The following is a 27,175-nucleotide window of genomic DNA, read 5'->3' on the forward strand; positions in this document are numbered from 1 at the left end:
AGTGATAATATTAGAACAATAGAGGGGTCATACTTGAAGGAAATTCATTAAATGTGACATTTACAAACTGTCACTTTTATTTTATCAGATGAATAAATAATGGTGTCATGTATTAAAAAAGTAATTAATTTTTTTCACATTTAACATATAGATTGACAGCTGTATATACATCTACTATAAGATAAACATCACTAGGGCAGAATGCTGTTCGAGATATATCAGCAGGCATATACAATACTCAATATGACCAAATGAAGGAAAAAACCAGACGTATGCATATTATAGGTATTGCCATAACATTTTTTCTGGTAATGCACGGACAAAGAGTTTCCAGACTATTGATATATGATATAGAGCTCATGGTACATATTCTTTATTACAAAGTTATTTGAAAAATAAAAAACAAACAGTTCTACTAGCAAAGATAAAATCTCTTAGAAATGGTAAACAAAAAAGATTTATTGTCATTGTATGATAAATCTTAAGAGAAAACCTTAAATTATTTTTTTGTTCAGAGACTCTTTGTGTTCTTTCTAATAGCTGTAAAACACTAGGAAGTTTTCACTGTAATAGCAATCAATGTGGAAAAAAAAAGAACGTATACTGCATTTGATTTAGAAACAGATCATTATTCTTCATGTTGCGTTGTATCACACAAGCTTTCTGTATAATTCATAGCCAAAATTATTATGTTGTAGAGTTACTGGTGCTTTTCAACTTACTATGCTTTAATGCTTACTTTATAAACATGAAATTAAAAAATTATATATCAATTTTTTGCCATTTCTTTTCTGTTCGAAGTCATTCTTTTTGTCAGCACATACAGAATAGATTACTATGTTAAAGTACTAAAAGGTGGACCTACTGCTGGAAAACAAGAGCAAAGGGGATGGATATTAAATATTTTTTAAAAACAGTATTTTTTTAAAAAAAGATAAGTTTACAAAATTTAAAAAATATCGACAAAGAAACATTTAAAAAATCAACTCAGTGAGAGATATTGTCAACCTTTTGATATGCAATTTTAAAATATTTTATGTGTATGTATAATTATGTGAATACACACACAAATATATACACACACAGAAACACACACTCATATATTAAAAAGTGTGGGATTACCATGTACATTTGGCTTAATGACTAGCTTTAATAAGCATTTCTGCAGATTACCCAATATTCTAACATATAATTTGTGGAATGCTTCTGATTAATATATATTTAAAAATTAATTCTTTGTAATCAATGTTTAAAGTGTTTCATATTAATCACTGTTGTAGCAATATGTAAACATGTGGTGTTTGTTTTTTTTGTCCTTGCGATAGTTTGCTGAGAATGATGGTTTCCAGCTTCATCCATGTCCCTGCAAAGGACATGAACTCATCCTTTTTTATGGCTGCATAGTATTCCATGGTGTGTATGTGCCACATTTTCTTTATCCAGTCTATCATTGATGGGCATTTGGGTTGGTTCCAAGTCTTTGCTATTAGGAACAGTGCCACAGTAAACATACATGTGCATGTGTCTTTATATTAGCATGCTTTATAATCCTTTGGGTACATACCCAGTAATGGGATTGCTGGGTCAAATGGTATTTCTGGTTCTAGATCCTTGAGGAATCACCACAACGTCTTCCACAATGGTTGAACTAATTTACACCCACCAACAGTGTAAAAGCATGCTATTTCTTCAATACTTCTCCAGCACCTGTTGTTTCCTGACTTTTTAATGATCGCCTTTCTAACTGTCATGAGATGGTATTTGATTGTGGTTTTGATTTGCTTTTCTCTAATGACCAGTGATGATGAGCTCTTTTTCATATGTTTGTTCACCACATAAAACTCTTCTTTTGAGAAGCGTCTGTTTATATCTTTCACCCACTTTTTGAGGGGTTTTTTTTTTCTTGTAAATTTGTTTAAGTTTTTTGCAGATTCTGGATATTAGCCCTTTGTGAGATAGATAGATTGTAAAAATTTTCTCCCATTCTATAGGTTGCCTGTTCACTCTGATGATAGCTTCTTTTGCTGTGCAGAAGCTCTTTAGTTTAATTAGATCCCATTTGTCAATTTTGGCTTTCGTTGCCATTGCTTTTGGTGTTTTAGTCATGAAGTCTTTACCCATTCCTATGCCCTGAATGGTATTGCCTAGGTTTTCTTTAGCTTTCTGTGGCAGAGTCCAGGTTTTTTATGGCCTCAGAATGGGGGAGTGTGTGCTGATTGGTCCATGGGCAGGCCTGAACAAAAGCACCATTTGATTGGCTAAAAGGCACTGAGAAAGTTCTCACTCTGGTCATGAACTCCACCCAGAACTGGCCGCTCAGTTTTCAGGTTTTAAACTGCCGTTGACTTGAAGGTTGAGTTTCACTGGGGACCTACCTCTATCTGCCTAGTAATCTGTGTCTCCTGTAGCTATCATCATCACTGATTTTCTACGTACAGATTTCAATTCCAAACAAAAATATATGAGAACGTTCATTTCTCCATACAACTGGTAAGAGAAAACATTAGTTTTTTTGTTTTTCAATGGCAAAACAATTAAGCATTGCTTTTATTTTAATTTTCAAATACTAGTAAGATCATATATTTCACCCTGTTATTTATTGTGCAATTTTGCTCAGTTTTAGAGTGTTAATTTTATATATTTTATTCATTAAATCTTTTTTTAAGAAATATATCAGTAATTCGCCTATCATATATATTTAAAACTATTTTAACCGTATGTTTCTCTCTCTTTTCTGCTGTACAAAAGTTTTGAAATTCATATAATCAAATATGCCACATTATTTTTCATGGGGCTTACATATGGAATCATACTTACAAAAGCCTTTATTTCAGAATTATGTAAGTAATTATCCATAAATCTTTAAGCAATTTTACTGTTTCATATGTTATAATAAAGTGCTAATGCTTTGAAAACTTAATTTGATTCATTGGTTAAAATCAGGAGCTGATTTCATCTGCATTCAAAAACATCATATTCAATACTGTTTTGTTTCTCACTCAAATACATTTTATTATTCTTTCCTGATTCATTTGAAATTTCAACTCTATTTGTGGTCTCAACTATATAAGAATATATATAGTTTCTGGCATTAATACACTGTTGCACTTATCTTACTATCTTTTCCTGTATCTACAGTATATTTTAATTTATACAGTTATAATTTAGGATATTTTTGAATGATTACCTAACATGCAACATAAGAAAGATTTAATTTTCATCTAATTTTCTCATCTCTCCTTTTTCTTTCACCATTGTGAAAGTGAGAGGCTGAAGTTGAAAAGACTTAGGTGGATTAGATTAAGATCTCTCTTTGTGAGTATGCATGTGTGTGTGTTTGTATGTTGCAGTAGTAGCAGTAGTAGTAGTAGTTTTACTGAATCACTATGATAAAGCTTCTAAATACCTCACCATTCCATCTAAAATTGTACTATGTTCCAAGTGCTCTTACTCATTTAAAGATTTTTTTATTTGGAATTATGAAGTTCATGCGTAGTGAACTTCATAAAAACACTAGAGCCTTCAAGGAGACAAAATTTTGCTTTCCATTTACAGTTTCCAATAGTACTTGGCTAAAAATTACTACATCAGATGCTACTGAGTTTTGGACATAATTTTAAAAGCATTTAAAATTCATTAAGAGCAATAAAAGCAAATATATATTTCATATACATATATATATCTCCATACTTCTTTTTCTACATCAGAATTATTTCTCCCAGAGACAGATGTATAAATAAATAAAATTATTAATTATTAATTTAATTATAAATTAGTAATTTATAATAAATTATATTACTTTATTATAAATTAATAAATTATAAATAAAATATAAAGGTTGGGGTACTGGACAAATTAGTTTGGTAAAAACATACCTAGAGTTATATACATAGAATTTGCAGTCAAATTAGCAGCTAGTACTGTTAAAAAATAACTATTTTGAGAGTAAAAATAATTAAGGAATCTGAGTAAAATACAGAGTAGAACCTACAGATATTTTGACCAAATAAATGACTAGATGCATAGCTATTTATAAAATAATCTGTAAAATCAGAGTTAAAATTTTAGATTCTTACACCAGTAAATATAGTGAAAGTGCTAGCTTTGTAATCTCATACATAAACAAAAAGAAAAACCTCAGATAATTTGTATTTGGCTCTTAGTTGTGGTTTTTGTTTTGGCATATTTAAAATGAATATTTCTAGTGCTCTGAATAGGCACTTCCAATATAATAAAGAAGGACTAAAAAGAGATAACTCATTAGACATTAGAAATGTACCTATTCTGTCCTTACTCCTGCTCACCATCTCAATTTGTCTAACCGCATTATGAGAAAGAATGTTTATCACCTAAATAAAGGCAAAGTTCTTAATACAGCTAAATTGCATTATCTCCAAATTTTCATTAAAATGTTTAAGAGCTGCCAACTGGGATAAAACAGTAGAGAAATTTAAAAAGAAAAAAAAAGATTGGGGGAGGTAAAGAGTAAAATGCGTATCAAATAAGTAATTTTGCACAGACTGTATTAGTTCATTATATGAAAATCAACAGGCCTTTTATCTGCAAGGTGTATCCTTAGAAAACTGATTCAACTTTATTTACGTATCTAATTGTAGACTAAATAGGCACACCTATTTAAAACAATCAGTGAAATACTAAATAAATATTTCAGACCCAGATTTTTCAAAGCATGCAACCAGGAGAAAATAAAAAGCCAAAATGAGTAATGATCAATGTGGTATCAGAATAAAGTGTACAGGCATAACTTCTTTCCACATATGATAAAATAATTTCAAAGAATCACTTTGAAAAATGTAGGTAGCATTTGATTATTCTGCAGGCTGCAAACACTGACTAGAATTTACCCAGATATTTATTCAACAGCCTATGGTTTGTGCACTAATCTGTGAAATTTCATATTGAGTTTGCAGTTTTGTTAACTTCATGTGTCTTTTTTATTTTTATAAAGTCCATCCAGCCAAGGAAAACTACAGCTGATGAAGGGAAAGTCGGTGTGATAGTAACACCTTTGCACATATCCACATTTTAAGGGGTGAAAAAGTTCGTCATGAAAATAGTAAAACTTCATTCCCATTACCTCTGAAGAAAATTATTTCAGAAGCATTAAAAAAATCATGCTGGTTTCTTTTCCTGAAGTGATCTGAAAATTTAAAAACATCAACAGAGGGCACTAACAGGCTGTTCTGGAAAGCCTTTCATTTCATTGCCTGTAACAATGAAACCTAGCTGGAAAGGCAGTGTTTTTTAGCTGCGTGTAGTTGCAGACGTGACATTGGGACAAAAAAATACAAATTAAAATCATATGTACTGTCTTTGGGCAGAAAGATAAATTCATAAACTTAACTCATTAAAATATCACTTGCTTTCTCTATATCAAACTCTCTCTAACTGTATATATTCTCTAACACACCTAATTTTTCTGCCTGTTGTTTCAAATATAATTTATTTCAAGCTCTAGACCTCATTGCATATCACTAAACTCAACCCAAGAGAATATTTAGTCATGCAGTCAACTCTGGGTGATCTCCATTGTTGGAGGTATATAGGAATAGTCCCCCAAAAAGTACTCTCTACAAATAATAATTGTTCTTGGCATCCTTTTCCTATATTTTGCTTTTGGGGTCATTTCTCATATTCAGCCAAATAAGATCAAAGAAAAAAATCTATGGTAATACTCAAACAATTAGTAAAGGCAATACAGAAATGGTTTAAACATTTTGGAATAGGAGCAAACTAATGATAGATTACTCTACAGGATGTAATTTCAGGAGCTTTGAGTAAGGCTCACTTTTTCTTAACAAAAGCAACCATCAAACAGCTCAGTCATGTCCTATATTCTGTCAGCATAGTTTTCTTCTATTACCTGAAAATTATATATTTAAGTAAATATTAATGGAAGAAACAATGCACTTTATCATTTACTTTTACCCATCTCCACCTAAGTTTATCTCATCCCTTCTAAACAGCAGTAGCCTATGTTAAGGAAAGAATACTGTATAGAAAATTCTTAAGTGCCTTATGAAGGAAGGGGTGGAGGTGGAAAGGAAAGATCATTTATGAAGAAAAAATTTGGTTCGATAAGAGGCATGAGGCTGTATACAATCTTTTAATACTAGTTATCTTTACTTAAGGCAGGTCCTGGAGATAAGAAACAGAAATAAAATATTTTATAGCAGGTATCCTAATTAGAAAATCCTTAGCATTTATTAAACAGAAATATAGTATGTACTTATGATGCACTCACAATAAGATCCGGACTACAATAATAAAAAAGACAGGGTTCATGTCAATAATTAGCTCAGATTTTATTCACTGACACAGCCATTCAAACAAATAATAATAATCATATTATGTATGGTGAATGTAATGAAGCACAGAATAAGAAGTGATTAATGCTGCCTGGGAGCACTAAGGATTTTTAAAGAGAAAGTTATATTTGAAATTAGAGATTGGAGGATATGTAGGAGAACAGCACATAAAACATTGAGGTTCACACTGAGAATAGGAGAAAGAATCTGTTTTGCCAGCCATGTCATAGGACTTATAATTTTTAAGAAACAGATAATTGGTTTTGGGGTGCTGTGGGAAGAAAGGCTGAAAAATAATTTAAATATTGTGATAGTTGGTTTTTATCCTGTGGATGATAAACAGCAAATAACAGAATAGAGAGGTTAGCAACAAGAAAACTAGATACGGAGCTGGTGAAACAGTACCCACTGAAGATAATACAGGTCTGGAAAAAAATGAGTGTCAGCCATAATAGAAACATGTATGTGGTGTGAATCTAATGCAAATGTTTTCACTTTTCTGTAAATTTCTGAATATCTGGTAGAACAGACCTAGCAACAACTTATTTACATGGGAAATTAGGTAGCTCCTGAGAAATATATAGGCCATGTTAATTATTGGGATTCAAAGTTATATGATAATGTCTGATGAACTGGTAAGACAAGATTAAAAACAATTTATATACAGGGAGGTATAAGTGTCTCAACAACAACAACAAATCCATTCTAGAAGAAGGAAGTGACAATACCCAATCCTTAGCTATTCCCCAAACGAAACACAATTTGGTTCATATTTGAATTCAACGAAGTAAAGCTACTGGTCTTGGTGGTAAAACAGAAAAAGTTCTCTTACCCTCCTCGCAGGGCGTACGATGGAGGTGTGGCTCGCTTCTTCAGTGCCCCACTGGTCAAGACCCTTAGCCAGAGCAGGCAAACAGGCAAGTCATGGGGACCATGGGCGCGGACCCATGCAGCCTCTCGGGGTGAATGTTTACACCTCCTGAGGCCCCAGTGGGCGTGTGTTACAGGATGCTTTTTCAGCTTAGCTGTCCGCAGGTGGCTTGTGTTAATCAGCTCAATTAGACCCTCTGCCTTATCACAAGGACAGACGGCTTTCTGTATCCCAGGTTCTTGCTTTAGTGCACGGGAAAAATTGGATCACATGTGGGCTTGGAGATCGAGTGCTAGGTTTTTTATTGAGTTGTGGTAGCTCTCAGCGAGGTGGATGGGGAGATCAGAAGGGGAATGGAGTGGGAAGGTGGTTTTCCCCTATAGTGGGGCTGCCCAGCAGCCAAATTCTTCTCTGACCTCCCAGGCCAAACTCCACGTCGTTCCGCTGGTCGACACCAGTGCCTGTCGCTGTGCTCTTCCGCTCCTCTCGACATCCAGCTGCCTGTGTGCTCTTCTACCAGTGTGTTCCTCTCACTGTCCCGCAGCTCGTGTGTTCTTTCTCCGGTGCGCTCCTCTCAACGTACGTGCGCTCCTCTCAACGTACGTGCGCTCCTCTCAACGTACGTGCGCTCCTCTCAACGTACGTGCGCTCCTCTCAACGTACGTGCGCTCCTCTCAACGTACGTGCGCTCCTCTCAACGTACGTGCGCTCCTCTCAACGTACGTGCGCTCCTCTCAACGTACGTGCGCTCCTCTCAACGTACGTGCGCTCCTCTCAACGTACGTGCGCTCCTCTCAACGTACGTGCGCTCCTCTCAACGTGCGCTCCTCTTAACGTGCGTCTGCACAGCTGCTTGTGTGGCACAGCTGCTTGTGTGTTCTTCCGCCAATGTGTGCAACTGCTTGTGTGTTCTTCCGCCAATGTGTTCCTCTCGACGTCCAGCCACTTCTGTGCCTGCCTGCCTGTCTTGGGGTTTTTACAGGCACAGGATAGGGGACGTGGCAGGCCAGGTGGTCTTGGAAAATGCAAACTTGGGCATGAAAACAGGAGCGCTTGTCCTCCCCTATATGCGTGTGCACAGGACCTGAGGTGAAGCCCTAGCCAGGGACCTGCCCTTCTCTACCCAGCGCTTTCCTTCTCTCATCCCGAGTCAGTACTGTGAGTATTAGAAAACAAAAATTTGTTTTGTTTAAAACTCTATAAAATAACAATATTACAGTCTCTATTAAAGCAGTGCAAAGTATTCTCTTCTGTTTGTCATTGGACACAGTCCATTTTTAGCAGGCTGGAGGATTTTAGTGCATTGATATTTGTTCCTGCAGAAAGTAATGGCATATCGCAAGAAGCTATTACCCAGTATGAACCGCCGTGCTCTGGAGTCCACAGTGGCTGCAGCCTGGAAAGTTTCTTGTAGCCACAGGACATCTGGTGTATCTCATAGCATACAGCTCCACCCATCAGACTTCCGGTGGGGAGGGGTGTGGGTGCCCAGCATGAGGAAATGCTCACTAGTTCTTACGTTTCACTTAAAAATGATACGTGCCATATTAAGTCACATTTCACTGGCTCCAGGAAGTCACTCTGCTGCCCCTGACTTCAAGATAGTTGAGAAGTGAGATCCAATCCTGTGTCCAGAAGTGAACATTTGAAAACAGTGTTGCTGCCGATTTCAGGTATTATTAATATAGAGATCACAAATGAGGGATCACCTTTGATGAGGCTAGAAAGCAACTGATGTTTATACTCTCCCTCATTCAATTTTTGTTTTCAATTTCAAGCAATTTGCTCCAATGTGTCTAAAGTTAAGGCTGGCTGTCTCCAGAGATTCTCTAAATATTTTTCCTAGTTTTGAGTAATTGTCTGAGATTTATTTAAAAACCTATCTAAATTCAATATCAGCTTCAGAACCATACCACACTGAGAATCACATTACGAATTAGAGAGAGAGATCTGTGTTCACTCACTACCTTCTACAATTTTTAAGTAGTTACGTGGCCTTTGGTAGTGTAGTTAATGGATCTGAGACCAGTTTTCCTGAACTCTAAAATGAATACAATTTCAGTCATTTGTGTTGAACTGAAGTTAAAATTAAAATAAATAAGTAAAGCACTTAGTATGTTTCAGTGCCCAATAAATGCTTCTTCACATTCCTTACCTCCATTTATAAATACATATAATCCCTTTAGCTATACCAATCTTAGATTGAATAGAATATGAATTGGCATAGATAGTAGTGTTTCTATAACTACCTTGTCACAAAGTAAACTGTTTTGTTTAAGCTTTATTTTCTATCTTCTGTTGTCTCTTTGCCAAATTAACATAAAACAACTTCTTATTTATGTTACCTAAAGTATAATATTAAAATGGATTATACCTAGAATTTGACAAATGTTTCTTACTCAGCTTGATAAGCATCACTAAGTTTTTATGAAATTATATAGATATGTCCATATATGTATGTGTAAATACAGTATACCCTCATATGTGTATAGATATGTTCCTTAATAATAGAATGAATAATTATTGAGAGGGCAACAACATGTTGCTACCAATAACTACAAAAAACTCTTTGAAAATTCAGTAGGAATTAGTCATCGTATCTGTCCCTATGACCCAGTAATGATTATTAAAGTGATTAAATACATTTTAAAAGCCTTATTTTAGGCCGGGTGCGGTGGCTCACGCCTGTAATCCCAGCACTTTGGGAGGCTGAGGTGGGTGGATCATGAGGTCAGGAGTACAAGACCAGCCTGGCCAAGATGGTGAAACCCTGTCTTTACTAAAAATACAAAAATTAGCTGGGCGTGGTGGTGGGTGCCTGTAGTCCCAGCTACTCAGGAGGCTGAGGCAGGGAATTGCTTGAACCTAGGAGGCAGAGTTTGCAGTGAGCCGAGATCACGCCACTGTACTCCAGCCTGGGCAACAGAGCGAGACTCTGTCTCAAAAAAATAAATACATAAATAAATTTTTAAAAGCCTTATTTTAAACGTGAAAAATTTGTATGTGCATTAGGCAAAGGGATATAATGCTCAGTATTAAACTTCATTTTGTGTTTTATTCTTACATTTCAGTTATAGGCTGCTGATTATTTGCATAGAGTATTTCCATTTGATTAAGCCTCCAGATTTTTCTTTCATTTTAAATCAATGTTTTATGTGTAAACACATTATCAAAGAGTTACGTTTTCCCATAAAACTTTCATCCTTGAATCTAGGATTTATTTCACATTTTTTCGATATTTCACACTTTTCAGACTCTTTCTGTATTTTTGCCACTCTCTCAGTTTTATATACTATGAACTTTCAATTAATTTACTAAATAAATATATACATGCCTAAGCATATACATATTTCTAACCAAAGCTCAGATTATTTCTGTCATTTGTCAATACTTGAATATTTGAAGAGTGGTTTTCTTTTTTTTATTATTATCATACTTTAAGTTTTAGGGTACATGTGCACAACGTGCAAGTTAGTTACATATGTATACATGTGTCATGTTGGTGTGCTGCACCCATCAACTCATCATTTAACATTAGGTAATCTCCTAATGCTATCCCTCCCCTCTCCGCCCACCCCACAACAGGCCCCCATGTGTGTTGTTCCCCTTCCTGTTCCATGTGTTCTCATTGTTCAATTCCCACCTATGAGTGAGAACATGTCCTGTTCGGTTTTTTGTCCTTAAGCGATAGTTTGCTGAGAATGATGGTTTCCAGCTTCATCCATGTCCCTACAAAGGACATGAACTCATCATTTTTTATGGCTGCATAGTATTCCATGGTGTATATGTGCCACATTTTCTTAATCCAGTCTATCATTGATGGGCATTTGGGTTGGTTCCAAGTCTTTGCTATTGTGAATAGTGCCACAATAAACATACGTGTGCATGTGTCTTTATAGCAGCATGATTTATAATCCTTTGGGTATATACCCAGTAATGGGATGGCTGGGTCAAATGGTATTTCTAGTTCAAGATCCCTGAGGAATCACCACACCAACTTCCACAATGGTTGAACTAGTTTACAGTCCCACCAACAGTGTAAAAGTGTTCCTATTTCTCCACATCCTCTCCAGCACCTGTTGTTTCTTGACTTTTTAATGATTGCCATTCTAACTGGTGTGAGATGGTATCTCATTGTGATTTTGATTTGCATTTCTCTGATGGCCAGTGATGATGAGCATTTTTTCATGTGTCTTTTGGCTGCATAAATGTCTTCTTTTGAGAAGTGTCTGTTCATATCCTTTTGCCCACTTTTTGATGGGGCTGTTTGTTTTTTTCTTGTAGATTTGTTTGAGTTCATTGTAGATTCTGGATATTAGCCCTTTGTCAGATGAGTAGATTGCAAAAATTTTCTCCCATTCTGTAGGTTGCCTGTTCACTAAAGAGTGGTTTTCAAGTGATAATCAAATACCTGCATATTTGATTATATTACATTGCTTCTGTTTTTCAGGAGAACCCTGCCTAATACAGCACATTATACAATTACAATAGAAATTAAGACAACATAAAATGTTATAAAATAAAAATATTTTAGACATTGATCACTGTAACTCTTTTGTTACTTAGCCATATTGTTATTTAGGTGGAAATGAAATTCTTGAATAATATTTTAACTGCTATTAGTATTCATAGGGTAACCAAATCTGGTCCAACTGTATATGTTCCCTAGCTCATTTCATTCATTTATAGATGATGTGGTTCACATAGAGAAAGTTACTTCCTCAAGATTACAGATTTGAAAGCAATATCAACTTACTTTATTTAAATGAATCTCTCCATTCATATAAACCAGGGACCAAGAAAGTCAAAATTATCTTTATATGAATTATATTCCAGGCATAATTATAAGTCATATTTTAAAAGTAGTATAAAAAAAACCACATATTATTCAGGCCAGGCATGATGGCTCACGTCTGTAATCCCAGTACTTTTGGAGGCTGAGGTGGGTGGATTACCTGAGGTCAGGAGTTCGAGACCAGCCTGGCCAACATGGTGAAACCCCGTCTCTACTAAAAATACAAAAATTAGCCGGGTGTGGTGGCACACGCCTATAATCCCAGCTACTTGGGAGCCTGAGGCAGGACAATTGCTTGAGCCCTGGAGGCGGAGGTTGCAGTGAGCCAAGATGGTGCCACTGCACTCCAGCCTCAAAACAAACAAACAAACAAACAAAAAACATATTCAATTGTAATCTGGAAATATAAAATTTATTAGAAGGGATTAAATTGATATTTTACAGAGAGTCTTATAAGAAATAGTCTCTGAGAATTAGTGTTAAATGTTCTATGTTAGAAGAATACCAGTGGAATAATGAGGTGTGAATAATTGATAACTTACACAGCTTGGTAAAAGTCTCTGCATTTCTGTCTCAGAAAGACTCAGTATTGATCTTGAGAAATAATATTTGCCCAAAAATTAACACATAGTGTGTCACAAACTATAAGAAAAAATTATACATATTCCATAGTTCAAATATTTCCTTCAAAACACAAAAGCAATTGTGTAATCTTCCAAAGAATTTTCAGAGAAGATATATTGTCAAAATGAAAAGGATGGGTTAAAAAATTTACTCATTCTGTCCGGGCACGATGGCTCACACCTGTAATCCCAGCACTTTGGGGGGCCGAGGTGGGCAGATCATGAGGTCAAGAGATCAAGACTATCCTGGCCAACAGTAACCCGTCTGTACTAAAAATATAAAAATTAGCTGGTCGTGGTGGTGCGCACCTGTAGTGCCAGCCACTTGGGAGGCTGAGGCAGGAGAATCGCTTGAACCTGGGAGGCAGAGGTTGCAGTGAGCCAAGATCGTGCCACTGCACTCCAGCCTGGCGACAGAGCTGGACTCAGTCTCAAAAAAAAAAAAAAAAAAAAAAAAAGAAAGAAAAAATTTACTCATCCTGTTTTTGTGAGTATATCCTCTTTTAAATACATCTTAATACAGACGGAGCTATTATACAGACACTCAGAGGAAATAGAGCCATAAAATCTATGAATCTTGAAATCAAGGCATAAAGCCACAAGAAAAATCATTGTATTTTAAATCACAGATGTTTCACATCTTTGAAAAATAAATTTAAATTATGAACTTTAATGAAGAGTAACCATATATGAACTATTCATTATATAAAACATGATTCATAAAAACCAGTATAATCTTGAAATATAGACATTAAATCCCATGAGTATAATATAAGATACTTTGTTTTCCAGAAAGCATAAATTAGAGGCACAATTTAGCAGCTTCCTGAGACATTAATAGGAGTACCAAGATTTTATGATCAGGAGCACATTATGAAAAATGATGTCAAAAAAATAATATTTGAAAACTGTGAGGGAATCCACAGTAAATTTGAATATTTAATGTGAGAAAAAAATACCTGCAATGTTTTAATGTAACTTCCACATTGTAGAGAAATTTCATAGTAGTGTTGTACAAAACAAACCAGAAAATTGTACTGGATTTCTATTTTCTAACCTCTTTCTTGAAAACCATAAAAACAGGTGGCATTTAAGAAGATATATCCACCATTGTGCTATTAATTTTACAGTCAATCAAGTGACAGGATTACCAAAAAGACTATTTTTATAATGACTCTTTAGTCCAGAGCTACCCATAGAACTTTCAGGAATGAAATTTCCAAATGCTGCTTAGATTGTCTATGTAATACCATGACTGATATTCTTAAACAAATGATCTACAGTCTTACTCTTCAGATTGATGACTTCTATATTTGGAATTGTTCAGCTTTAAATATGTTTAATAAATCCCACATGAATTACAATTTGCCGGCTTCTAATAAGTTTCAATATTTTCATTCTAATGCTGTCATGAAATCAATATGTTAACTATCACTTTAATGAGTCTAGGAAGTAATGATCTTCCTATTTAGGAATAAGGAGGAGAATATTCCCTCCTATTTTTACTTTTTTCTAACTTACATTTTTAATAACTTAAATTTTTAATATTTCTTTTATGTTTTCAGAAAGACAAAAAATCACCCTAAAAATATAGAGTACAAATTTATGACTTCTATTTCAATATTCCATATCCTCTACTTTCCTTCACTTCTCTCAGGTAAACACTGTTAAATGTTTTTAATATAACTTCCTAACTTTTCTCTAACATTTTATATTCACATAGTTCCTTCTTAACAGAAATCATAGTAGATAAGTCATAGTAGATATATTGTTATGTAATTATTTTCTCACAAAATAATATCTTTTTTTTTTTGAGACAGAATCTCGCTCTGTTGCCCAGGCTGGAGTGCAGTAGCACAATTTCGGCTCACTGCCACCTCCGCTTCCCGGGTTCAAGCAATTCTCCTGTCTCAGCCTCCCGAGTAGCTGGGACTACAGTCGTATGCGACAACGCATGGCTAATTTTTGTATTTTTAGTAGAGACGGGGTTTCACCATGTTGGTCAGGCTGATCTCGAACTCCTGACCTCAGGTGGTTCACCCACCTTGGCCTCCCAAAGTGCTGGGATTACAGGCGTGAGCCACCACACCTGGAAACGACAGAATAATTCCACGCAATTCCTCAAAGGTCTACCTCATATCTCATTCTATGTATAAACCTTTCCCTTCCTCTTTTTGCCTTAGTAAAAACAGCATTGCAAAGGATATTTTTAAGTATATATTTGGATATAAATGCATATATTCCTGAGCTCTTAATTCCTGGGAGTAAATTGCTGGGTCAAATAATATGCATATTTGATACTTTGATAGCATATGCTAATTTACATTCTCAAAAGTTCATGTAATTTAACATTTCACAACACTGTTTTAGAATACCCATTTCTGCCCAATTTGCACATTTATTTTTATAAAATTTGCCAAAGCATTAAACAAATGGGGTAACATTAACATATTCAAATATTACAGAAAAATGTAATATTTTCTTTATATTTAGCCAGGTTTTTTGTACAGTTAGTTTTTTCTGTTGGTTTGTAGGAGCTTTGTTGTATATATTATTTTAAATACTTTGTACATATGTGTTGTGTATATTATTTTAAATATTTTGTACATATGTATTGTAACAGGTTTCTATTGTAATAAAAAAAAAAGTAAACAAGCCCTGAATTTCTGTGGCTTACAAAAACAGCCATTACCTTTTCTTGATTATAGGTCTGCAAGTTGCCTGGGTTTGATAAATTTTTCTTGGTCGTAAATGAGCTGGACTCTAGTCTGGAGATCGGATTTAGGAATCATCCTCATGCCTCAGTCTAGAAACCATTAGCTACCTGGGAAAGTTTTCTCCTGCTAGTGACAAAAGTGCAAGAGAAGTGTGATCACATAAGTGCATTTAAAACCCCTACTTGAAAAGCATATGCATTAAATCTTTTCAAACACTACTTATCAAAGCAGGTCGCCTGGCCATGCCCCAAGTCATGACAAGAGTCATAAAAATGGGAAAATGAGTATTTGTGAATAAGTCAGCCTATTCACCACTATAATGTATTTTCTCTCAATCAACTGCTTATGGTTTTATTTTTGTGCCAGTTTGAAAACTAAGAGTTCTAATAATGTTTCTTTAGCAACTCTCAGTTTTGTGTCTTACTTAAGTCACTATGTTAATAATAATATTATCCAATATTGTCTTTTAGTTCTTTTACAGCATTGACTTTTACATTCAGACCCTTTAATCAAATTTTCAATTCATATATACTTTTTAAACAAAAACATTTTTGTGAATTCTAACTTATTTTTCCAATTTTCACAACATAATTTCTCTTAACTCATTTCTACGCAAGTTTGAAATGCCATCTTCATATTCTAAATTACTATATAAAAATTAGTTTCTTTTTTGATTCTTTCTTTTTTTTTCTGTTTATCAACTGCTGTATTCTTCTACCAAAACCACTTGGTTCTCATAGTTAAAGCTTTATAAAATGTTTGCTATATAGTTAAGTCCTATTTCATAATTTTTAAAATTTTTTCACCAATTTTTCTTGTTTCTTTTTCTGTATATTTTCTCTTGTGGGTCATCTGGAAAATATGCTTTCCTTAATCAATTTAAAAATCCTAAAAGTATTTTTAAATTTCAGATGGTTCTCCCTCTCTTTCCATATATATATATATGTATATATGTTCAATATATATTTATTCAATCTGAATATATATAGAATATATATGAATATATATTTAATCAGAATTAAATAAATATATATTCATGTATATTCTATATGTCGCTATATATATTCTATGTCTATATATATTCTATATGTCTATATAAAACCATCTGAAATTGCTAATATTTCTCCTTTTATAAGACATATCAAAATAGCAATTTATTAGTTCAACATAATATATAAAATTCACTTAGAGGAAATTACACTATTTAGTATTAACTCTTTCATCCAAGATTATGAATATCTTGAATCCTATATTTTTGTTTAGTTGGTTTAGTTTCCATCTAGGCCTTTCACTATCTTTTCTTAGATTATTTTATGCAATCTGAATATATATGAATGTATATAAGTATGTATTCATATATATTTAATTAGAGTTGAATATATATTCGTATATATTCTATATATATGAGTATATCTGTTAATATTAATTAAGTCTTGGAAGTTTAATTTGTTAATGAATGAGAATTGCTTTTCTTTTTATGTTCTGAAATGGAAAGTTATTCATTGCTCATGTTTATAGCAAAGCTGTTGGATTCTGTGAGTTCAAGTTGAAAGGAAGTTATGCATAGTGATTAATCTCAAGTGTTCTGAAACCAGAATACTTTGGTTCATATCCCAATTTCACCACTTATTTGGTGAATGACATTAAACAAGAAGTTAGTGCCCTTGGCTTCAGTTTCCCTCTCTACAAAAAACCAACAAAAAAATTGACTATAACACCTTATGCCATGAAGCATGGTTGTGAAGATTTAGTATATTAGTACAAGTTCACTGGCTCACACCAGTTAGAATGGCCATTATTAAAAAGTCAAAAAATAACAGACGCTGGCGAGGTTGTGGTGAAAAGAGAACACTTTTACACTGCTGGTGGAAGTGTAAATTACTTCAGCCATTATAAAAAGCAATATGGCAGTTTCTCAGATAAGTTAAAAGAGAATTAACATTTGACTCAGCAATCTCATTATTGGGTATATACCCAAAGGAATATAATTCATTCTATGATAAAGACATGCACGTGTATATTGCAGCACTATGCACAATAGGAAGGACATGGGACCAACCTAAGTGTGTATTAATGGTAGAGTGGATAAAGAAAATGTGGTACCTACATAGCATGGAATACTACACAGCCATAAAAAGAAAAAGATTGTGTTCTTTGCAGCATCATGGATGGAGATGGAGCCCATTATTTGAAGCAAACTAACACAGGAACAGCAAAGCAAATACCATATATTCTCACTTATAAATGGCAGCTGAACAACGAGGACACATGGACACAAACAGCAGAACAACAGACACCAGGAGCTACTTGAAGGTGAATGGTGGGAGGAGGGAGAAGATCAAAAAATATATATACCTATCAGGTACTATGCTTATTACCTGATTGAATAAATAATGTGTACACCATCCCCACAGTACACAGTTTACTTATATAACAATCCTGCACATGTACCCCTAAACCTAAAATGAAATTTAAAAGTAAAAAAAATTACATGTACATGTATAGCATTTAGGAATCATGTACTTCATAAATGCTCACTACAACCTTGCGTTTGTCTATTACACAAAAGTTTTATATTAACCCTAATTGAAACCCTAAATTGAATTGGCAATATAAACTGAGCAAAATGGGAGAAATTCAGAGAAAAAAAGCCAGATAAATAGGTGAGGTTTAACTGACACCATTAATCAGGTAAATGGGAAAACTAATGTATTTGAGTATTTCCTTTTAAAATAATTTTTGTTATTATAACTATGTGGTTTAATTTTTGTTTTTATTTATTTTAATTTTATTATTATTGTACTTTAAGTTTTAGGGTACATGTGCACAATGTGAAGGTTTGTAACATATGTATACATGTGCCATGTTGGTGTGCTGCACCCATTAACTCGTCATTTAACATTAGCTATATCTCCTAATGCTATCCCTCCCCCCTCGCCCCACCCCACAACAGGCCCCCATGTGTGATGTTCCCCTTCCTGTGTCCATGTGTTCTCATTGTTCAATTCCCACCTATGAGTGAGAACATGTCGTGTTTGGTTTTTTGTCCTTGCGATAGTTTGCTGAGAATGATAGTTTCCAGCTTCATCCATGTCCCTACAAAGGACATGAACTCATCATTTTTTATGGCTGCATAGTATTCAATGGTGTATGTGTGCCACATTTTCTTAATCCAGTCTATCATTGATGGACATTTGGGTTGGGTCCAAGTCTTTGCTATTGTGAATAGTGCCACAATAAACATACGTGTGCATGTGTCTTTATAGCAGCATGATTTATAATCCTTTGGGTATATACCCAATAATGGGATGGCTGGGTCAAATGGTATTTCTAGTTCTAGATCCCTGAAGAATTGCCACACTGCCTTCCACAATGGTTGAACTAGTTTATAGTCCCACCAACAGTGTAAAAGTGTTCCTATTTTTCCACATCCTCTCCAGCACCTGTTGTTTCCTGACTTTTTAAAGATCGCCATTCTAACTGGTGTGAGATGGTATCTCATTGTGATTTTGATTTGCATTTCTCTGATGGCCAGTGATGATGAGCATTTTTTCATGTGTTTTTTGGCTGCATAAATGTCTTCTTTTGAGAAGTGTCTGTTCATATCCTTTGCCCACTTTTTGATGGGGCTGTTTGTTTTTTTCTTGTAAATTTGTTTGAGTTCGTTATAGATTCTGGATATTAGCCCTTTGTCAGATATTTAAAGTAAGTGCAACGGTCATTACAGTCTATTTTGTATTATCACAATAGAAACATTGTATGTACCCTTTGGCTATCACCCCCATATACTCCACTCCCCAAAGCCTAAGCAACCTCCACTCTGCTTTCTCCCCCTATATATTTGTCTATTCTGGACATTGCTTATAAGTAAGCTAATACGTGTTTCTTTGTAATTGACTTATTTTGATTGGCATAATGTTTTCAAGTTCCATCCATGTTATAGAGTATATCAGTACTTAAATTCTTTTTTATGGTTGGATAAGTTTCCATTTTATGGATATATCCCATTACATTTCTTCATTTATCAATTGATGAGTTTTGGGGTTGTTTTTACATTTTGGTTATTATAAATAATACTGCTAGAAACATCCATGAACACACATTTTTGTTTGGACATATGTTTTTCATTTGTATTTGGTGCATCCTCAAAAACATATAGTAACTCTATGTTTAATCATTTGAGGAACTGCCACACTGGCTACACTGTTTTTCATTTCCACCAACGGTGTACATGTGTTCTGATTTCTTCATATACTCTCCTTGTTACAGTTGTCATTTTTAATTCCAGTCATCTTAGCGGGTGTGAGGCAGTATCTCACTATGGTTATAGTCACATTTTCCTGTGGGTTAATGATACTGAATATTTTTTCCCATACTTATTGGCTCTTTGTATATCTCCCTGGAAGAAACGCGTATTTAGATCCATTGCCATTTTTTAATTGGGTTATTTGTCTTTTATTTGTTGAGTTTCTGGATACAAATCTTTTATCATATATACGATTTGAAAATATGTTCTTTCATTTGGTAGTTTGTCTTTTCATTTTCTTCATAGTGTCCTTTGAAACAAAGTTTTACAAAAGCAGCAATCTTTTTCCTTGGTGATTATTCTATTTATTTACAAATAACTCATTTCATGTAAAATGCTGAATAGATTGTAGGGCTGCCATAACAACGTGTTACTAATTAGGAGGTTTAAACAACAGCTATTTATTATTTCACAGTTCTAGAGGCCAGAAGTCAAAAATCAAGGTGTTGGTAGCACTGATTTATTTTACGGGCTGTGAGGAAGAATCTGTTCCATGCCTCTCGCCTAGTTTTTGATGGTTTTCTGGCAATATTTGGCATTCCTTGTCTTGTAGAAGCATTACCCTAATCTTTGACTTCATCTTTACATTCTCCCTGTGTCTGTGTCTGTGTCCAAGTTTCATCTTTTTATGAGAACATCAGTCATATTGAATTAAGGGCCCACCCTCTTCCAGTATGACCTCATCTAAACTTAACTAATTAAACCTTCAACAACTTGATTCCAAGTAAGGACACATTCTGAGGTACTTGGGGTTAGGACTTCAACATATGAATTTTTGAGGGAACACAATTCAACTCGTAACAGATGCATTATCAAATAAATGAATATTTATTTCTTAGACAATAATAAAATTTTGAAATATATATGACTCTTGACTATTTGCAAAGTTTTGTTCCCCCCAACTTGTTCTCACTTGTATTTTTTCTCATAACCATCTAGTTCAACAAGAAATACTTATGCTTTATCGGTTTGTTTGTTTTTTGAGATGGAGTTTCACTCTTGTTGCCCAGGCTGGAGTGCAATGGCATGATCTTGGCTCACTGCAACCTCTGCCTCCCAAGCTCAAGTGATTCTCCTGTTTCAGCCTCCTGAGTAGCTGGGATTACAGGCCCCGCCACCAGGACCAGATAATTTTTGTACTTTTAGTAGAGACGGGGTTTCACCATGTTGACCAGGCTCGTCTCGAACTCCTGACCTCAGGTGATTCGGCTGCCTCAGCCTTCCAAAGTGCTGGGATTACAAGCGTGAGCCACTGCGCCCAGCCGCTTTATATCTATTTTATAAATGAAGCAAGCGGCATCCAGGGAGATTATCAGTTTATCAAATGCCTCAGTTTATTAAGTTACTGTGAACAAAAACATAGAAGTATTATCTTCTGGTGTATGTTCTCTCTGTGGCTTTTTACATCCCTTAGGGTAATGCTTGTATCTATTTAAAGGAAAGGTGACATCAATAAAAGTCACAATGCTTATAGGCTTCTATGATTATGTGAGAAATAAATGCTCTAGAAAAATGGCATAACATTTTATCCTCCAAGGCCAATGGCTACATTGTGGGATTTCTACTCAGCTAGATAATCTAGGAAACACCAAATAAATAAAGCAAAGTATTCCTGCTTTCAACATGCTTATAGCCTGTTAGGGAAGATAGAAATAATATGGAGTATGGTGTATAAGAAAAGAAGATTAGAGAAACTATGATGAATTGCTCAATTGTGTGATTTAGACAGCAAACAGGGAATTAAATTTGAATGATTGGAGTATTCTTGGATGAGTTTATTATGAAAATTGAACTTTAATTAGGGACCGGCGTGAGAGTATGGAGGCTGAAGCCATAGAAAGGAGAAATTATTCCAGCTGAGGCCAAAACATGAACCAAGGTAATAAACTGGAGTTGTAAATCCGCTCTCTGAGGGAAAGATACTGTTCAAATTATAGTGGCTGGTGAAAATAAATAATTGTATACTTAATAGTAATTTTAAAAATAAAACATAATTTTTCTCATTTTATTAGTTATTATAAATTTGTTGATTATTAAATTATTTTACTAATAGTTATAAAATTTTATGTTGATTCCAAAGCATTCATCCAGCAATAAGAAAACAACTCTTGAAAATAATATCAAGTGTTCAATTCACAGTCTTATGGAAAATTTGAGCATATTTAAAAAGGAGTGGATTATACTCCTTAGCACATTAAGTGCTTCATTAGTAACAAGTAAGCATGAAGTGTGAGCCAGGAAAGAGCAAAATTCCCCTCCAAAGAAAGTCAGTCCTAATCTGGTGGGTCAGTAGTTTAACCTGAAAGCCTACTCAATCCATCTCTATTTTTCTGGAACCTACCAACAAGGATGCCAAATGTGATCCACGCACTTGTCCACTAGAAACTGAATGGGAGCCATCAACTCATTTCACACAGGTCAGCAAACAGCAATCAGAGGCTAATGGCTTTCTGTCACCACTAACCCAGGCTAGGTGCAAAGGCCGACCTGGAGGTTAGAGGTTCTGCATCCAATTACCTATCGTAGGAGCTATCTGGTCCCCTCTAAAAAGTAAATTGCTCAGTGCAAAATTGAAAGTACTACCTGATTTGCTATTTTTTCAGTGCTGCTTTTGAAATGCCTAAGTTTCTAAAGTGGCAGATCTGATGGGCTGGCCTCTTTGCTCAGTATTCAGGAGGTTTGAGGGAGCAGTGATGAGAACTAATAAAAAGTAAAGTCAAGTTATGTTATGCCATGAAGTGAATCAAGATTCAATACGTGACAGAGACTCTTGGACTAAAACACTCATACAATTGTTGCTAAATGCAGGATATGTTATAACCCACACTTCATACATCAAAGTGTTTTTAAGGAAAGATTTTCATTCACAAAGTAACCATTAAATGATAATAGTGATTAGAGAGATGGATTTGTTGAAAATATTTACTTTTCTGGCTATATCACTAGGAAATTGAAATTGTATGAAAAGTAATCAACTTAAAACAACATTTAATATTAGCATACTGTGACTCTAGAAATGTTTATTTCGAAAACATTTTACCCCAAAAACTGTTAAGTGAGCAAGTTCCATATGTTTTGTCTTAGATTTTAGGATAGCTTTACCTTAAGGTTAATAGAAAAGCTGTCGAAAGTGCAAAATCAGGAATCATGGAAGAATATACTCTGAAATTAATTAAGATTAAACTTCAATCATCCTCAAAATCACAGGTTATATACAAAGCCCTAGTAATTTTTATTCATTTATTTCATCATTTTTCTTCAAGAAAATCCAAGAAATTTGGATGCATCTCTGTCACCAGACTAATGATATTATTAATCTATAAAAACCTATAAACACTGTGTCTATCTGTGCTCATCACTCTAACCAAAAATTACCAGAAACAATGTTCAGACAGATTCCTCTCTGTGGGCCTCTGGGGGGAGACACAGCCCAAAAAGTGGTTGCAGCATTTTCTCATGCTGATTTATAGCATAACTACACAAAGACACACGCGCACAAAAAAGTAAACACAAATGCAAACGTAAAGGTGAAGTAAAAACAGATACTAAGATCTTAAAATTGCTCAATATTTCTACTTAGAAAGAAATCTAAAATATCTCACTTACTTAGATGTCTATGCAATTAGTAAAGCTTAAAATTATATTTAGTTACACAGAAATTACATGGTTTTCATTTAAAAAAAAAAAAAAAAAGGCCTGGCTTGTCACCCTACAAAGCATTTTGTAGGGTGAAATAATTCCCAGAGTTCACAGATCTTATAAGACTCCAGATTATTTATTTTAGACTTTGGCTCAAATTATAACCATAATGATTCATAGTAGCCATGGAACTGCCCATAAAATGCATGTGTACCTGTGTATATACTGTGTAATTCAAAGTAGTTATGTATTAGAAGGAGCACACCAGTTACTTTTTCAACACATTTTAGAAATGTATTATAGAATGTCTGCACAATATTGATACAGTAAACCGATCTTAGAGTGAGGTCAAGGAAATATCCTGAGCCATGTTCTTTTAACAAACAGTTTAAATTCTAAAATAACTTTCCTTTAAAGCTATGGATTTTTTGGGGTTTTTTTGCTAATACATTTTAAAATACTATATTTTAAACTAGTTTTAGGCTCAGATAAAAGTTTTTGAAAGTATAGAATATTCTCATATACGTTCACCCCTCTTCCATTTATCTTAACACCTTATATAATCATAGTAAATTTATCAAAACCAGGAAATTAATGTGAGTCAAAACTACTAACTAAGCTGCAGAGATTATCTGAATTTCACTCATTTTCTCAGCATTCTTTTAAGGAAAAAATGATCCCACATTGTATTTCATTTCTGTTCAAGAATTCAATGTAGAATTCCATATTGTATTATTTTAGTTTTTTCTCCATAGGCCCCTCTAATCTGAGAGTTTTACAGTCGTTCCTAGTCTTTTATTCTCCTGTTTTTCTTTTAATAGGCATTTCATTTATTTTATGAGGCAAAAAGACGGATGCCAATGCCATTGCTTATCTATTGTGACAATGTTTTCATTATTATGCCAACCATTAAAAGCTAAAAGCAAAATTATCAATAATTATGTGAAAATATGCAAAACCACAAAAATATTTAGTATTATATAGGGATGAAATAATTTGAGCACATATAATGTATGGCCATCATATTATGTATCTTTCCATTATCTCATTTTCATAATATCTGTTAGAAATAAGTACCTTTAAATCCTATTTTATATGTAATGAAATTGAAACTCAGAAAAGTCACTTGCCTAAAATCATTTAGCTGATTAGTAGCAGATCAGAATTTTAAAACAAGAATTTTTTTAAAAAAATATAATTCATGTGCTCTATACAATATCTAAAGCATGAGTTTTGCTGAAAGGCATGTATAGTTAGATTTTTGTAGAATGTAAGACTTGAATCCTAAAAGATCAAGACCTTTTCCTGTTGTCTTGCACAGCTTTCAATTGCCCATTCACAATAAAATGAGACACAACTCATAGAACTGTTAGTTGCCAAGCCGTGACATAGCCAACAGAAGCTTAACTTTGTGCTTAACATTTCCATGTTAATTAGGCAATGTCAAATATCACAGACATGTAGATAAGTCATAGTAATATCTTTCACATACATTTCAATGAATTAAATACTCTCTATCTGAATACTGATCTTACATTCCATCCTTCATATTGCCTCCCAGTTTTTAGAGGAGTCATGTTCAGAGAGGCCTATTCATTTATATCTTCTCCAAATTTTCTTGTTACTAAGTCACCATGCAACCTGAGATGCCCATCATGAAGTGGATGCTCTTTGACCCATCAAGCCATAAATTTAGGTGTGTATAGCAACACTCCATCATTAAATGGAAGCAGTATATATGTAATTCCTGAAGGCATAAGTAAGTTACATTAAAAAATGGCCCAAATGATTGTGATCCCCACTTCGGCTACACTGCCTTCTTTCGGCCAGTCTGCATGTATGCTTCCACTGGGAAGCATTCCATTGAACTGGAAATTCAGACTCTTGCCTGGCCATTTTCTACTCTTCATGCTTCTGAATCAACAGAAAAAGAAGGGAGTTATGGTGCTGTCTAAGATGCCTGATCTTGATTTCATGGTTCTTGTGGAGAACTCTGCTATTCCATAGTGTAGGTAAAGAAGAGCAGGTCTTGGATATAGGGGATTTTTTAGGGCTTATCTTAGTATTACCATTCTCACTGACTAAGGTCAATGGCAAATTTCAGCAACTAAATTCAGGTAGGTCTACTAATGGCTGAGACCTTTTAGAAATAAAAATTTGGGTCTTCTCACCAGGTAAAAAACCACAATCAGTTGAGGTACTTGATACAGGAAAGGGAATGTAGAATGTGTACTGGAAGAAGGTAGTTGTAAATACCAGCTATAACAATGTGACCACTTATAGAATAAAGGATTGTAGTAGTTACGTGTATTCCTTTTTCTTTTGCATACACACACACACACACACACACACACATACATACATAGAAATATCTTTGATTTCCTTCCTCCCTTATTCCCTTATCATGTAACATAAAATGTATTAGCTTATTATCATAACATTTAAATGATGCTATTTTACATCATAGTACCTAAGGAATGTAAAGGAGAAGAAGAACAGTAAACATTACTCAAAGGCTGTATCTTCTCTTCTGGGAAAGGAGTTAGTACATTTTAAGTTGTACACAGGATAGTTTTATCATGTTAGGCAGAATTATGACCTTGCTATTGTCTTTATTTGTAGATTAAGTAAGGCTTAAGGAGTATGCATGAGTGCCAAGGTGACAAAGTCTGAACTTGTGATGCTTAATTTTATGTGTCAACTTTACTTGGATACTGAGTTCCCACATATTTGGTTACACATTATTTCTCCATTTGTCTGTGATAGTATTTCTGGATGATACTAGCACTTCTATCAGGGGACTGACTAAAACATATTGTCCTCCCGGATGTAAGTGGGTATCATGCAATCCACTGGAGGCCTAAATAGAACAAAAGGTGGGATAAGGGAAAACTCAGATTCTCTTCCTGTTTTTTTTAGGCTGGGTCATTGGCCTTATCCCGCACCGAAGTTGAAACTTACACCATCTGTTCACATCATCAGTTCTTCTGGTTCTCATGCTTTTGAACTTCAACTGGCACAATTCCACTGGCTCTCCTTAGTCTCCAGGTTGCAGATGGCAGATTATAAATCTCCTTAGCCTCCACCTTTATGTGAGCCAATTGATATATATATTAGCCAATTAATATATTATATATTAATATAGTAGTATATTATATATTAATTATATGAAATATATATTAGCCTCCATATTTATGCCAATTGATATATATAAGCCAATTAATATATATTAATATATTACATATGATATATTTATTAATGATTAACCGTATTAAAATTATAACGATATAATATTAATTATATTAATATTAATTAATATATTTAATATGTTCCTTCTTGTTGGTTATCTTTTTCTGTAGAATCCTAACTATTACTGACACCTCTTTGAGGACAAAGGAAGTAGCTTTCTGCAAGCCAAAAAGACCTCAGAAAAACAACAAATCTTCCAAACTCTTGATTTTGACTTTTTGCCTCCAGAATTGTGAAGAAATAAATATCTGTTATTTAAGTAGGCTAGTGTCTGGTATTATGTTATGGCAGCCCTAGTAAACTAATATAGGTGTTCATAACCATAGGAATAAACAAAGGAGCCAGACCTGGGTAGCACACAAACGACTTGAAAGAACGTGGAGTGAGTAGTAAGTGACTTTCCCAGGCCATAGTAGGGCCCTTCTTCTCTTTCAATCATATAATTAGTTTTTCAGGCATTGTTAGCGAGCTACATGAATAAGTAGACCCAGCAGACATTCATTCTTGAGACTGTATTCCCCCAAAAGACTGAATATATGGGCAGCAAACCTCAATGAAGAGAATATTGAAATAAGGCTACTCCTATCTGTTCCACACATCACACATATTGTGTTGGTTTCTATTGCTCACCAATTAGTTAAAACTT

The 27,175-nt window shown here is 34.4% G+C and overlaps 2 long non-coding RNA genes across 9 annotated transcripts in view, besides 1 other annotated feature; one reads left to right on the top strand and one right to left on the bottom strand.

Moving 5' to 3' along the window:
• Nucleotides 1-7,751, bottom strand: part of LOC105377177 (uncharacterized) — a 250,124-nt gene extending 242,373 nt beyond the window's left edge. For all 6 annotated transcript variants that reach the window (XR_940994.3, XR_940993.3, XR_940991.4 and 3 more), the window contains exon 1: nt 7,162-7,751. This is a non-coding gene — a long non-coding RNA (uncharacterized LOC105377177). The remainder of the gene's footprint in view (nt 1-7,161) is intronic.
• On the top strand, nt 2,300-26,791 carry LINC02050 (long intergenic non-protein coding RNA 2050). Of its 3 annotated transcripts, NR_147143.1 has the most exons (5): nt 2,300-2,490; nt 17,496-17,648; nt 21,444-21,520; nt 26,200-26,372; nt 26,640-26,791. It is a non-coding gene; the product is annotated as a long intergenic non-protein coding RNA 2050 (long non-coding RNA). The 3 variants fall into 3 exon arrangements; NR_147144.1 differs by lacking the exons at nt 17,496-17,648; nt 21,444-21,520; NR_147145.1 differs by lacking the exons at nt 2,300-2,490; nt 17,496-17,648; nt 21,444-21,520 and adding an exon at nt 8,107-8,358.
• Nucleotides 7,941-8,493: an enhancer, noted in NCBI's record as "H3K27ac-H3K4me1 hESC enhancer chr3:80819689-80820241 (GRCh37/hg19 assembly coordinates)". NCBI's record gives its function as "activates a minimal SCP1, AML or CMV promoter by ChIP-STARR-seq in naive H9 embryonic stem cells {active_cell/tissue: H9 hESC(naive)}" and the evidence as "EXISTENCE:reporter gene assay evidence [ECO:0000049][PMID:30033119]".
• Nucleotides 26,792-27,175: the final 384 nt, after the last annotated feature.

The sequence above is a fragment of the Homo sapiens genome, chromosome 3 (genome assembly GCF_000001405.40).
Source record: "Homo sapiens chromosome 3, GRCh38.p14 Primary Assembly".
In the NCBI taxonomy this organism is placed as follows: domain Eukaryota; kingdom Metazoa; phylum Chordata; class Mammalia; order Primates; family Hominidae; genus Homo; species Homo sapiens.